This window comes from Homo sapiens, chromosome 8, assembly GCF_000001405.40.
Source record: "Homo sapiens chromosome 8, GRCh38.p14 Primary Assembly".
Lineage (NCBI taxonomy): Eukaryota > Metazoa > Chordata > Mammalia > Primates > Hominidae > Homo > Homo sapiens.
In genome coordinates this window covers 133,381,543-133,397,121 of record NC_000008.11, presented here as the reverse complement: position 1 = coordinate 133,397,121, position 15,579 = coordinate 133,381,543, and the positions used below count along the sequence as shown (strand labels likewise).

General features: G+C 44.5%; 1 pseudogene, besides 1 other annotated feature; it reads left to right on the top strand.

Annotated features, from left to right (window-relative positions):
• DPPA3P7 (DPPA3 pseudogene 7) lies at positions 4,432–4,911 on the top strand (annotated as a pseudogene).
• Positions 5,896–6,115: an enhancer, noted in NCBI's record as "active region_27995". NCBI's record gives its function as "activates an Ori minimal core promoter by ATAC-STARR-seq in GM12878 lymphoblastoid cells {active_cell/tissue: GM12878}" and the evidence as "EXISTENCE:reporter gene assay evidence [ECO:0000049][PMID:35858748]".

Below are 15,579 nucleotides of genomic sequence, written 5' to 3'. Positions count from 1 at the left end.
CAAGTAACTAGTACTACAGGCACGGGCCATCATGTCCGGCTAATTTTTTTTGTATTTTGTTTGTTTGTTTGTTTTGTTTTGTTTTTTTGGTAGAGACGGGGTTTTACCCAGGCTAGTCTTGAACTCCTGACATCAAATGATCCTCCCAGCCTCCCAAAGTGCTGGGATTACAAGCGTGAACCACCATACCTGGCCCACCTACCCAACCATTATGGGAAAGATAATTAAATTTAAATTTCTGCATTATTTAAGCCATTATTATTTTAGGACTTTATGTTACAGCAGCCAAACTGATATGTTAACCAACACAATCAGTATGTTCTACTGACCTGTGGCTAAGTTTGCCAAAGCATTAGAGAGTAGTGGAAGGGGTTCCTAAAGCCATATTCCACCTGGCATGGCATGTACACTAAATGAACATTTTCTCACACAAAATGTACTACCGGTTTTCAAATATACATATGTATGACTAGTCAAGCACTAATTTATGTAGAAGTGCCACTGAATTCAAAAGTCTGCAAGAGGAGCAGATGAGAAAAATAATGTAAGAAAAGCACCTGGCATAGAATAATCCTTCAATAAAGAGTATCACTATGAGAATATAAATAATAATGCTTCCCAATCAGCATTTGGTTCCATATGAGGGTTAACAAAGTGTATTGGTAACAAAGGTAACACAGCCACCTTACTCCAAGGACTAGGGCCGCTGTATCTAGGCCTAGCTGTTGTAGACATCATCTGCAAGAGTCTCGGTTGTTGCAGACATCAGCTGTTTATCTGAGATCTTCAGTAACCCACACTCACCCGAGCAAGCAGAGATCTTACAACCTGGAATCCTCCTGCTTTGCCAAAGCAGAGATCAGGCTGCTAATTGATCACCAGCATGTGATAGGCCAAGCCCATGGGGGGGGGGGGGGGCTTAGGATTCTCATAAAAAATAGAGCAAGACCTTAAAAGGCAAAGGTACAGCCTGATGGGGGCTGAGGTAGAACAAGGGCCGCCTAGTATTCTCTCCACAAAGCAAAGGCAAAAAACTCAACTCCCTGGTGGTCCCTTAGATGGGCTATTCTCACCACCCATGCAGTTTGTCCCTATGAAACCTTTACATTGTTACCACTAAATAACTTTCTGAACCGCTTCATTGTTGCATTCCATAGAATTTGTGAAGAATTCTTCAGGGAGGCAAGAAGAGGGTTAATACCCCCATTTTACACAGCAGGGACCTGATACTCTGGTTAACTGACTTGCTCCAGGTCACACAGGTCACCAGAGGCAGAACCAGGACAAGACCTTAGCTCCCTCCCTTTCCTCCCCCACTTTTTTTTCCTTAAATCCATTGCATTTCTCCTGTCATCTATTGACTTATGTAAAGTGCAGTCAGCCATATATATGATAGAAGAACCCAACCTGTGGCCCAGACCCCCTGGCTTGGTAACCTTACGGGCCATCTATGCATCACGGGATTTGGGCAAAGGCCCAACACAAACTGTCCCAGTCAATTCAGGTTGCTATAACAATATACCTTAGATTAGGTAATTTATAAACAACCAAAAATTTATTGTTTATAGCTCTGGAGGCTGGGAAGTCCAAATTCAAGGCATGAGGCTGGGCATGGTGGTTCATGCCTGTAATCTCAGCACTTTGGTAGGCCAAGGTGGGCAGATCACCTGAGGTCGGGAGTTTGAGACCAGCCTGGCCAACATGGTGAACTAGTGAAACCCCATATCTACTAAAAATACAAAAATTAGCCAGGCGTGGTGGTATGCACCTGTAGTCCCAGCTACTCAGGAGGCTGAGGCAGGAGAATTGCTTGAACTCAGGAGGTGGAGGTTGCAGTGAGCCAAGATCACACTACTGCACTCCAGCCTGGGTAACAGAGCAAGACTGTCTCAAAAAAAAAAAAAAAAAGAAAAAAAAGAAAACACACCAAACGAACAAAAAAAAACCACAAATAAATTAAAAAATTCAAGGCACTAGCAAATTCGGTGTCTGGTGTGGGCCCATTCCTTATCAATGGAAACTTCCTGCTGTGTCCTCACAGAGTGGAAGGGGCAAAGGGTCTCACTTGAGCCTCATTTATAAGACAACTAATCTCATTCATGAGGTTGGAAGCGTCATGATTTGATCACTTCCCAAAGGCCTTAACTTTTTCTTTTTTTTTTGAGATGGAGTCTCGCACTATCTCCCAGGCTGGAATACAATGGCATGATCTTGGCTCACTGCAACCTCTGCCTCCCAGGTTCAAGAGATTCTCCTGCCTTAGCCTCCCAAGTAGCTGGAATTACAGGTGTCCATCACCATGCCCAGCTAATTTTTTGTATTTTTAGTAGAGACGAGGTTTCACTATGTTGGCCAGGCTGGTCTCAAACTCCAGACCTCTTGATTCGCCCGCCTTGGCTTCCCAAAGTGCTGGGATTACAGGCGTCAGCCACCGCGCCCAGCCAGGCCTTAACTTTTAAAACTACCACATTGGGTATTAGATTCCACTATATACATTTTGTGGGGACACCAACATTTAGACCATAGCAGACACTTTGGACCCCTGAGAACTGTGTAGAGTTTTGTGCCTTTTCTGATCCACATTCTTCATGTATTATTTTCTGAAAATTAAAGCAGGACCTCAGCCACCCAACAAAAACAGAGAGAATGTTCTGTGTATGTGCCCAAACTATGGCAAGTGGAAATACATTCAAGGGGAATGTCCACAGGCACTTGCCACCTCCAGTGGGCTAAGCACTTTATAGAAGTTATTTATTTTATTTTATTTACTCTCTTGCAGACACCTTTTATGTAGGTACCATTCTCTCCTTTTTCTACAACAAGAAAATGAAGCTGCAAGGAGAAGTGACACAGTCAGATTCCCCAGCCACAGGTGACAGAGTTAGTATTCCAACTCAATGCCCCCTGCTTTATACCTCATGCTTTTTCTACACCAAAGGACTGCCTGCTTGCCTTTTGCTGTTTAAGATTTAATTTCTATAGATTTCAACCATTCATTTTTTTAACTTTTATTTTGCCACCAAATTACCTAATGTTTTAATAAGAGGAAAATTTAATTGCTGTAATGTCTCTTAGTAATGACCAAGTCAAGCAGACTTTCTTAGAATGTTGGGAGGGAAAAGCAGATAGAGCCTGTGCTCTTTCAGTTTCTTTTCTAAATTCTCTCAGAGAGAGAGAGAGAGAGGGACTCATGAGAATGTGACTTTTTGTGCTTTTGAGTAAGGAGTATTTCCAGAAAAAGCAAATCACTTATAGCAGAATTGATTTCTTCCTTTGGGTGAGAACAGGCTGCCCTCTTCCTCATCCAACTTTATTTCCAGTTATTTCTCTCAAATGACCTTTTAGCCCCACCAGCATGCTTTCCTCTCCTCCCTCCAAACATCCCCCTCCCCCCTCTGAACATTCCTCAAGTAGTGCCCTGTGGCCATTATTCTGGGTTCTCAGGTCACCCCAAAGCTGAGTTTGTCAGAGGATGAGCTACACCTCTGTGAGTTGTCCCCCAAACCCTGGATAGTAACTACCTTGAGGTCAAAGACCATGTCTTATTCTTCTTTCCATCCTCAGACCCATGCTCCTTGCCTAACCAGTAGCATACACTCCACATGTGAGAAGTGTGGAGCGCCCCAAAGAGACAATCCTCAATGCCTTTATCACCAAGTGCCTGCCTTCGTGAGTCCTACCTGTCCTTTGGGGAAGTAGATCAGTTCTCCAGTACCCCAGAAGTCAGAACAGAGACTAGCAAGTGGAAGTTTCAAGAAATTAGATTGCAACGCAATGTAGGAAGAACATTCTAGCAGTTGATACTCTCTTTTTCATCAGATATGTTTAAGCAGAGTTGGTGGAACAGCTTTTAATAGAGATTACTAGCATATTCTTTCAACAAATATTTACTGCTACAAAATACAGGAAAATAGGGGTGTGGACCTCAGATTCTAATCAGGAGGATTCTGGAGGCATTGTTGGCTTTGTATTTCTCTGTTGTCTTTGGCACACCATCTTTCAGGACCTCTCTTGCCTCAGCTACAAAAGGAAGGGGTAGAGGAGACGTAAAAGTGAAAAGAGCTACTCACCCCACTGTGGACGTCTGTGCTAAAAAATAAAAGCAGTATTGGCAAGGCTATTTGTACCATGTGTCTATTGTAGCAAGGTTTATGTTAGCTGAAAAACAACTAGAAACCTTCTCAGTACAGCAATAGGACAATTATTGAATGAATTACGATGTATAATTGGCTTATCTGTATTTTAAGAGGAGATGGGACCTAAATTTCTGGTCAGTTCTTTCATTACCATTTGTTGGAGTTCAGGTTTTCAGGCTCTTTCTGGGCTAGAGAGTTCTTTCCCGGCTATCTTGCGGCAATTTGAAAGTCTGATATCAGTTTCCGCTGGGTTCCAAAGATCCAGGAGGAGCTTAGTGCTGTGTCTAGATTGCCAATGGACCCATCACAGAAGTTTAACCCAACTTTGATCCCAAAGCCTTCAAAAATGCTCACTGAAGAAAATTCCCAGGACAATTCAGGGCCTCTCATAACTTCTGCTCCGAGACATTGATAAAGAACCTTAAACTTGATTCTCAGCTCTGGTATCAAATTCCCTTCCTCTCTACCAGAAGGTTCACTCCAACAATAGGAGAAAAGAGAAATGATCTTCCAGGACATCAGAGATGGCTTACCTTACAGGAGGAGGGAGTAAGAACATTGCTGTCTGTATGGAAAGAAATGATGCTAAAATGTAGATACGTGTCACTTAGCAGGCTTCCTAGGCTTGAAAGAAAACAAACACTGGGCTTAAGGGAGTTCAGAATGATCAAGAAGTGAACCATTCAAATGTGGCTGTGGTTTCTATGTGTATCATAGATGGGATTCTTCTGAGAATGCTAGAATAGGGAATTATGGCACTGAGCCAATTCAGCCAGAAAGCTTATTCTCATACTTTTCTTTCTTGCTGGCAATTTTATGTAGCAGGTTGAGAAAGCTACTCTATGCTAGAATGGATTGTATACAAATAATTTTGATAATGAGTTCTATGATATATTTTTCTTCTTTTTTTTCCTTCCTACCATGAAATCAGTAATGTATGTAGTGTATGTAGTTTGAATGTATTTGGATAACCTCAGTATACTTTACCTTTACTCACTGTTTTGACCCGAAGAAATACGAAAAGGACATAAGTATTCCCATGTATTTTAGAAGGCTAAAGTCAGTGAGATGAAACCCAATATCAAGAATTTGATGCAAAGTAACTTGTGGGGAAAGAATGTAATGAAAACATTGGGTAGTTTGGCTAGAGCATAATAATTAGATTTTCCGGTTTTCAAAAATTTGGATACCAATGAAAGGAAATTTGATGTGCTATTTTTTTTTTTGCAATATTCAGTATCAAATAAATGTGTGTATAGAGAAACAATAAAATTGACATATTTGAGTAACTTAAAAAAAATAAACTACGATGCATCCATACTATAATTTTATAGCCTAATGTTAAAAGGATTAGGTTAGAAATCTACATACCCTGATCTGGGAATTTTACCTTGATATGTATATTACTAAGCAATGAAAAAGTATGGTATAGAGCATGATACCATTTTATACAGGTGTGTACATAAAAATATCTTTGCTATGAACATAAAAAAACGTGTAGAAAAACGCAATTGTTAATGCCTGTTATGTCAAGAGGGGGGACTAGAAGGAAAAGACGTGTCATCAGTTATAATTAGATTCAGGTTCCTACAACAGAAATCCCCAAAATAAGTGGCTGAGTAAAGAGGAAGTTTAGTTTTCTCTTGTAAAGGAAGTTCAGAAATAGATGGTCCTGAACTAATATGGCTGTAGCTCTAGGTCATCACTCAGGCTCTGTCTGCCTTTCTATTCCACTGCCCTTAACCACGGCCTTCCATCCTCAAGCCACCTGTGGTCTAAGATGACAGTCAGTGCTTGCAACATCATGCCCGGGCAGGAGCATGGAAGAAATAGTTTATGCCTCTTTTAGGGAGCTATCCCAGAAGTCCCACCAACCACACCTAACTGCAAAGGAAACTGGGAAATGTAGTTTTATTTTAGCTGGCCACAGTAACTGTGTTACATTGTATTGTATCATGTTGTATGCTACAGCGTTTGGGCAGCCCAGATAATATAAGAGTTTTATTACTAACCCAGAAATGGATAATGGATGTTGGATGGCCAAATAGCATTCCCTGCCACAAAAAGTTTATCAACTTTTTTTTGAAACAGACTTTCTACTGTTTAGCTAAATACAATGAAAAGTATTTCACAATTTAAAAAATCCAATTAGGAAAGTTTCTTAAAAGAGAGGAAGGAAATAACTTTGTATAAAAGCACTTATCATGAGCCAAGCTCATTTCCTGAGCATTTCACATGCAATCTCATTTCACCCTCACATGATCTCATGGAGAGGTGTGACTGCTCCTTCCCTTTCACAAGAGGAGGAGCCAAGATTCAGAGGGATGACACGGCTTTCCCAAAGTCTTGTCACCAAGAAGCACAGCCAGTATTGAAATCCAGGTGCGCGTGATTCTAAATCCTGTGGGGGCAATCTCTAGGGTCATTTTCAGGAGGGAGGAAAAAAACAGCAATTCATGTATGATTCTAGAATCCCAGATTTGATGGAGGCTATATTCCCTAACCAGATCATTAAGCTGAGAACAGGAAAGTGAATACTGGTGCTTCTCCAGCTGCCTGATCTCTGATGGATATTATCCAGTGGGTAGGCTTACCATGCCAGCCTATTTTTCTCCTTAAGATGTATTCATTTCCCAGCAACATGAATCCATCTTTCTTTCCTTTTTTTCTTTCTTCCTTCCTTGATTCATTTTGTTATTTTTCATGCAAACATACTTACTCATGCAGAGAAAAGGAGATGAAATTTTTTTAAATTCTTTTTTCTTCATTTCTTAACTAATTTAATCTAACTTCATAAGAGGAAGAAGAATAAGCTCAGGGTCTTACATAAACACTGAGCTCCTCTTGGATTTTCATGAGGGTGAATTTATGAGGAAATCATGGAAGGAACCTACAGAATAATATTATCCCAATCAAGATGCAGTCTGCTGCCTGCTGCCTGCTGCCTGCTGTGTGGGGAAACATGAGTGCCTTGGGTATTTTCCTTACAGCACTTACAATTTTAGACAGGACAGAAACAGATGCAAGAAGATATTGCATTCCTTCGTCCTGAGCTAACCTGGGGCTGGATTCTTAGTCTCTCTATACCACCAGAGATACACTGTAGTCCCTGAAACACAAGCTTTTCTCAGAAATACATGAGCTCCCCTCCATGAAGTCTGCTCCATATTAGATCTCTGTTTGTCCCCTCTAAATCCCAACCAAGGCTGTAGTCCTCTCCTCTGGAGTCGCAGAGAAGAAGGCAGAACTTCTTCCCCTCAAGGGTCCATCAAATATTAGCACACAGCTGTCATGTCTGCCAAAGTACATTCTCTAGTGGCTTGGGAGCGTGGAAAGGAGGCAGCCTGACCTGGGGTAGAATCCCAACTTTACTCCCTGCCTGTGGGACCTTGGGTCGATTTCATGCCTCTCCTGATATTTCATCATCTGTCAAAAGGAGAAAGTGAAATTATAGCTTCATTTTTCCTTCTCCAGTAGAGCATAAGTCCTTCAAGGGCCAGGGAAGCTATCTTACTCATCTCTGGACCCATATAAAGTTGCTTTGAAAATTCAGAAAAATAATAACATTGAACAAGGAATGTTTGTCTGTTAGTATCATGAAAAATGATTCCCTTAACCACAGAAGAATTGGCTAGAGACTGGCTTGTGGGAGGCAGCAGGGAAGGAGGGTTACTAGAGAACACTATGAAACCTGAAAGCCCAAGTTCAAACCTCACCCATCTCCACCACCAGCTAGCTGTGTGACCTTCAGCAAATTATCTGACCTCTCTGTACCAGTTTCCTCATCTACAAATGGGAATAAGAATAGTGATTATCGGGTGTGGTGGTTCATGCCTATAATCACAGCACTTTGGGAGGCCGAGGAAGGCAAATCACTTGAGGTCAGGAGTTCAAGACCAGTCTGGCCAACATGGTGAAACCCTGCCTTTACCAAAATATACAAAAATTAGCTGGGTGACAGAGTGATACCCTGTCTCAAAAAAAAAAAAAAAAAAGAATAGTATTTATCTTACCCAGGAGCTGACTCATGCAAAGTGCTTAAAACAGTCTTAATAATAGATTTTATCATCATAGGCTGTTGTGTGTTATTATTCCTGAAGCTGCTGAGGGAAGAATGAGGTCTCACTCTCACCACATTCTCTCCAGGCAATAGCTACTCCCAGAAAACATGGTGCTTCTGTGGCCAGAGCTCAGAGTTTCAAACCAGTGAGAAGTATTGCCAGGACTCGGCCTTCCCCTCCCAACTGTGCCTATGGTGGTACTTCAGGCTCAGACAAAACATCAGTTGAGTAAGGCAAACAGCCTTTCCAACCATTTTTCTCAGTGGGAAAGATGTTCTTGGACTGGATTTTCCGCCCCTCCAGGGCTAAGTCAGGACACTTGAACTTGATGCATTTATTGAGCATTCTGTGCTGTTGGATTATGTATGGCTTTATCTCAAGAAAATCTGCCAAAAGCCCTAAAGGGCAGCTCCTTTGAGGAGCTACACACTATTTATTAAACTCCTACTGAATACCATACCCTGTGTTAGGTTCTATATATACATCACTTTATTCAATTCTCTCAACAGCCTCAGTTGAACGTTGAATTCCATCATTTGATAAGTAATTCTGGAACACATGTAGTACCAGTGTAGTGGGGTGGTTAAGCTGGCGGGTTCTGGAGGCGTCAGCCTGGCTGTGATTTGATGGCCACCATGTCCTAACTCCATCTGGGGCATGCTGACTTCCCCTCTCCAAGCCTCTGCCTTGTCACGGGTAAAATGGAGATACTAACTGGGCCAGGGAGGGTAACATGAGAAGGTCCTTGCGGGGTACCTGGCATGCACTGTGCACTCAACAGTGCCAGTAAATGGGGTACCTGGAATGGCCCAGGCCCTGGGGATAGGGAGGTGATGGAATTGCAGTCTGCAGTACTTAGATGCTCAGAGTTTAGGGGGAAAGGTGGTGAAGTGAGCCTGAAATCCCAGTGCTCTCCGTTCACCAAAGAGGATCTTGAGGCTTAAAAGCCTCAGCAGCTTGCCCAAGACTATCCGCACCCCCAAGTGGAGTACTAAGTCCTACTACCCTTGGAGAACTGTATGCTGACCCCGTCTTCCCTCATGAGCCAACCCTGGGTCCCCAGTTACACACATTCTCCACCTATTCCTGCCCTCCTCCCCCACCCCAGAGGGAGAGCATCGCATGTGCAGAATCTCCTTGGGAGACCCTGCCTGGTTGAAGAATATATGCTTTTCTGGGCATGCTTCTCTCTGAGTCTGGGCGAGCCCCCAGGGTGTGGTCAAGGCAACTGGAGAGGCCTTGGCACATTTGCCTTTGATATAGGAGATGGAAAGAAATTATTTAGGCAGATAGTAAGGACAAAAGAGTCCCCAGCAAGGTTTCTCTTTTAACAAAAAGCAGCCCCCAAATCATTTCTTTTCTAACAAAGAGCAGCCTGAAAAATTGAGCTGCAAACGTAGATAAGCAAGCTGCAAACTTGCACAGGTGAATGCCGGCAGCTGTACCAATAAAAAAGGGCTACCTGGAAGCCAGGTATGTTCAACATGGAGGCTCCATCTTCCCTTTTCTTTGTCACCATATGCACAGTAAAGGAACAGGCAACATGGCACTGACCAGGTAGAGAACCCATCTACACAATGAAAGATTAGGCTGGGGTGGCCAGCTTCTTTGTGTGCAATGCAACGGCACACCTAATCCTAACCAGTTTTTCATGCACTTTGCAAATGGCACACCTGGTCTGACCAATCTTTCGTGCCCTATGTAAATCAGACACCTCCTCAAGCTCATCTATAAAACCTTCTGCATTTCACTGCCAAAGTGGCAACCCATTTCTCCAGGACCCCTCTCTCTGCAGCAGAGAGAGCTCTTATCTTTCTTTCACCTGTTAAACTTCCACTCTGAACATCACTCTTTGTGTGTCCTCATCCTAGCTTTCTGTGGCCTTGAGACAAAAGATCTCAGGATTTATCCCAGACAACGATGCCATTTCACCTTAATCAGGAGGCCTTCTGTTTTGCACAGCACAGTGCTGGCAGCCCATAGCCCCACTGCTTTGCCTCATTGCTTTGGAAGAGGGAGGGGTGGGGGATGGGAAGACTCCATCAGAAGAAAGCAATCAGTGAGGCTGGCCTTGTGTGGGAACAGGAGAAGGGGGCTCAAGAGAAATGGAGAGGGATAGTTTCTAGTGTTCACTGATACTTGGGCCACATCAGCCCAAGGCTTCTGAGTGACTCAGGGATGCTTGCTATGTTGGTTTTGGCAGGGAAACAGAAAAGAAGGCACAGGTGCTGGCATCAGGACTTCCTCAAACTCCCTCAAAGTCTGCAAGCCAACCAAGTACATCGGTTTCCCCTTTGAGACATCTTGGCACCCAGCCTTTCTCTGCTTCTGGTCCTCACAAATCTGAATGTGTGGAATCACATGAAATTCTCCAGCTTCCTGATTTCCTCTGGTCATTATCCAGGCTACATGACTTCCCAGCTCTACCTCCATCCCATCTGGACTCCAGTGTGGGACCTTGACAAGAAAGAGCCAACCACCATGCCAGCTCTAGTTCCTAGCAGTGAGATGCCCTTGGGCAAGTTACCTAATTTCCTTGCATTTTAGGGCCCCACCTGTAAAATGGGAATAACAGCAGCATCTCCCTGAGATGTTCTTTCAAAGATGAGAAAACATGAACAACTGGACTCTCTTGCCCAAGCCATGGTCTCAGTGTTTCCTAAGATTTAAAACATTTCATCCTGAAGACAGACTCTGAGGTAGGTAGGATTGTTGGTGTCTGTATTTTACAGAAGAGGAGAGTGAGGACCAGGGAGCATAGGAGCACTTAGGTGCCAGTGGTGTGGTAGTAAATAAAAGGATGATGGAGCTGGAAGCTGAACTGGGAGGTGTAGGTACTGATTCTTGATCCTCACCCAAGGAAGGAGGGTACTGAGCCTGGATCCTTACCCAAAGCAGGAGGGTACTGAGCCTGGATCCTCACCCAAGGCAGAAGGGTAGAAAGTCCAGGGGTCAGATTCAACCACTGTAATTGGAAAGGCACTGAGCTCTCTATGCCTCAAGCTCCTCATCTGGTGAGCAAAGTGGAGCCTTGAAGGGCTTGAAGCTAGGTGGGGGACACAATGTTAAGTGTGGCTAACTAGCCTGGCCCTGAGGGACTGTTGTGAGGATTATCTGCCTAAGCCCAGCATGGTGCCTGGTCTTTGTTAAGGGCTCCCTAAGGTCGGTTCAGCAGACAGGTTGTTTTTCCGAGTGGATTTGGATCAGTTGAAGACCTCCCTTCTCTTTTGATCCCCAGATGCTCTCTGCACTTGGCTGGAGGAGAGATGAGCAATGCTCTGGAAGTGCTGAAGCCCTGGGCTCTTGGAGCTGCCTGCCTGAGGCTGAGCTGTGTGGGAGGAGAAGAAGAACAGCAACAGCCTGGGGAGACAAACACACAAACAAACCTACAAACAAGGGATGTGTTTGTTACTGAAAGAGAAAGGGCCCATTCAGCTCTAGGCCCTAGATGCTCAATGCTTCCTCCAGGCCTGGAGCCCAGGCAGCTGTCACATTTATCTATCCCCAAAGCCACCTGTGACCCCTGGCTGCTGCACGGGAGGTCCCTGGGCCTGCAAGGGTGGGGGTGGTGACCCTTTCCCTCATGGCTCATGGGTTGGCTCCTCAGGCCCTGTCCCATGGCCTGGGTGGGGTCTCCTTCTCCTTCCTCTTCCTCCACTCGGTGGCTCTATTCTTATCCTTCACCTCTGAAGTCCCAGGGACAAACAGTGGGGCCCTCTGGATGAAGAGAGGGCTTGAAATGCTGATGGCTGGAATGGAGAGAATTATTCAAACCATCCTGGGGTGAGAAAGAGGAGAAGGCAAAGTAACATTTTTTGAGCACCTACTATGTGCTTGACACACTGCTGAGCCATTTCATCTAATACTTCCAGCCAAAAGGAGTGGCGGCTCAGAGCTCGAGCAGCTGGCTCTGACTGACAGTGCATTCCCTTTCCAGGAAAAGATCCACCCCATGGGGCTGTGATGTTAAGAAACAGGACAGGGAAGCATAAAGGCTACAGTGAGTGAGGGAGTAGCTGACACACAGTAGTGTTCAATAGATACTGTGCCCCCATCCTGAGTCCCTATGCATTTTGTAGAAGACTTGTTTAATGGAAAGGAAAAAACCATGCTATAACTGATCCATTTATTTTATTCAATAAATATTTACTGAGCACCTACTGTGTGCCAGAAACTGTGTAGGGGCTGAAACACATCAATGGCCAAGATGGAAACTGGGAAAGTGCCCCTGCCCTTGCGCAGTTTACATTCTAGTGGAATGGCCAGGAGAGGGACCCTTCACGTGCACTTGTCCAGCACAGCTGTGTTGAGTGCTGACTATGTGTCGGGCTCTGGTCTCTGCATGGTGTTCTTCAACCTGAGTGTCAGGCTAGGAAGCAGCACTGACTGCCCTGGGCTGTACTGAGCCTCCATGGGGATTTCAGAAAAGGTGCTCTTTCTTCTGACATCTGCCAGAAAAATGTCTCTAATCAGTATGCAAATTGATAATGATAATAACATATAAACACCAACCTCTGGGGTTGTGCAGTGAACAAACTACCCAACTGTCCCCAACAGGGCTGCTCAGAACCACCCAGGAGCCCCTCCAACCCTGCGTGTATGTCCCTCCAGTGTTCTTCCACACACTGCAATAGCTCCATCATGATGCGTACGAATTGTGATGAATGAAAATAAGAGCTTCCATTGGCTGAAGACTCACTAAGTTTCCATAAACCACTAATATTCCAAATTCCCAATTCCATTCAGTCCCCGCATTCCCCTATGAGGTAGCATTTATGGGTTCAGTCACGTGCCCCCAATATTCATATGTTGAAGTCCTAAGCCCTGACCTCGGGATGTGACTGCATTTGGAGATGGGGTCTTTGAAGCTATAATTAAGGTAAAATGAGTTCATTAGGGTGGACCCTTATCCAACGTGGCTGATTTCTCAAAAGAAGAGATTTGAACACAAAAGCGTGCAGAGGGAAGACCAAGTGAGGACACAGGCCAGCTACAAGCTAAGGAAAGTGGCCTCAGAAGAAACCAGCTATGTAGGGACCATCCCTTGATCTTGAACTTCTAGCCTATAGAACTGTGAGAGAATGAATTTCTGTTGTTTAAGCCACCCTGTCTCTGGTACTTTATTGTGGCAGCCCTTGCAAACTAATACAGATAGATTCTATTATTTCCCCCGTTTTTACCAATAAACACACTGAGTCAGTGAGAGGTTATGTACCATGTCCAAGGTCACGAGCTAAGAGGTAGGGACGTGGGGTTGGAACTCAGCTCTGATTCCACACCCATGCACTTAGCCCCACTGCACTGCACAGATTTTTCCTTTTTAATCCCTTTTTGGCCCCTTCAGAGGGGCATGTCTTAACTGGATCTCTGCAGGGTGAGCATGTCAAAAGAGAGGTTGGCACTGAGACTCCACACATCCACAAACCCTTACCCTGGGCCAGCCCTGCAGAGCCCTGGGCCATGGGCTGTCTGCCCAGGCATCTGGGACAAGCTAAAGAAGTTCTCTACTCATTCTGTTTTATTTTCTAAACATTATTGGTCTTTGGAAGTAGTGACCTTTGAAGAAAGAAAGAAAAATTCCAGATATTCCAAAGATAGTGAGTAATCTCTGCAGTCAACCCTAGACCAGGGAAGAGCAAGGATTCTCTGTGAAGAGCCAGACAGCAAACCTCCCAGGCTCTGCTGGCCAGAAGCGTGTGGCAGCCACTCCACTCCACCACCTCAGCTCAAGACCGCCATAGGCAGTGTGCAAATGAATGAACACAGCTGGCTTCCATTATAGCTTTATTTATAGACACTAATATCTGGATTTTATATCATCTTTCCATGTCACAAAATATTCTTCTTTTGATTTTTTTAAACTATTTAAAAATGTAAAAACCATTCTTAGCTTTCGATCCTTACAAGAAAGGGCTTTGGGCTGGATTTGGGTTGGTGTAGATTGTTGTATTCATCATTTCTGAGAAGGAATTTTTAGACTCTCAGAGCTGGGAAGGCCTAATGACCCAATGAGCCCTAGTTTGGTTTACAGATGGAGACGCAGATGCTCAGAGCTCTGGTGACTTCAGGATCATGAGCTCTTGAGGGCCATGGTTCCACCTCCAGTCTCATGGCTCAATCCCTTCTTCCCACCCTGAGAACACAGCCCCACCAGGAGAGTGAGGATGTTTCTTTCCAAAATAAACTCTAAACCCAGGGGCCAACTGGCTCAGCTCCTATCTGACAAATTTCCTGAAGCAGTCCACTACTAAGGCTGAAAGGCAGTACGTTACAGCAGGTAGATGCTCAGAGTGGTGCGAGATGCACAGCGTGTCCTATGTTCAGGTTTGTGGTGATGTCAACACAGTAACTCAGGCTGAACTCACAGCCCACGCTGGGCTCTGCACAAACACCTTCTGGAGCATTATTGCATCATCACCATTAATCCCCCTGATAACCCTACAAGGTGAGTGATGTCTGTTTTACAAATAAGAAGATCGAAGCTCAGAGGTTAAGTCACTTCACCAAAGACACACAGCTAACAAGTGGCAGCCCAGGCCTCAAATCCAGGCCTGACTGGCTTTCTTGCTGGGTGTTCAGGGGTGACAGGACCAGGCCCCCCTCTGCCCTGCTGGCCCCAGGAGCATATTCCTTCATGTCAGACCACCAGGCCTTCTGTTGGGGTTGGTCATGTGGTCACCCTCGCCATGGGGCTGATGCAGGTGGCATGTTCCCGGTGTGTTCACAGGGATATTTCTCAGAGAAGATGAGTCATGCAGAACTCCATCACTGAGACGCCCCTACAGGCAGTAGACTCAGAAGCCAAGATGACATCACCACCATCTTCCCTCTCTCCTGCCCAGACTGTTTAAAACTGATCCTGACAGATAAACAGTCACGTAGGAAATGACACGCATATGGAGATGCCTGTTGTTGTGTTGTGTCTGAAAGCAACAACGTGAAATTAACCCAGATGCTAAAAGAAGGGCTGAGTTTGATGAATGATGGTCTATTCAAACGGCAGGACAATGCACAGCCATTAAAGTGTTCCTAAGGAATATTTGTATTTATTGCCCTGGAGCAACAGTGTATCAAGAGATGAAACTGATTATAAAATCATGTGTCTGGTAGAATGTCATTTAAATGAAAAAAGCATGATATATGTGCATAGAAAGTAACTGGAATTTGACCAGGCATGGTGGCTTACACCTGTAATCCCAGCATTTTGGGAGATAGAGGCAGGCAGATCACCTGAGGTCAGGAGTTCGAGACCAGCCTGGCCAACATGGCAAAACTCTGTTTCTACTGAAAAATTAAAAAATTAGCTGGGTATGGTGTCGGGTGCTTGTAATCCAAGCTACTCCGGAGGCTAAGCAGGAGAATTTCTTGAACCTGAGAGGCCG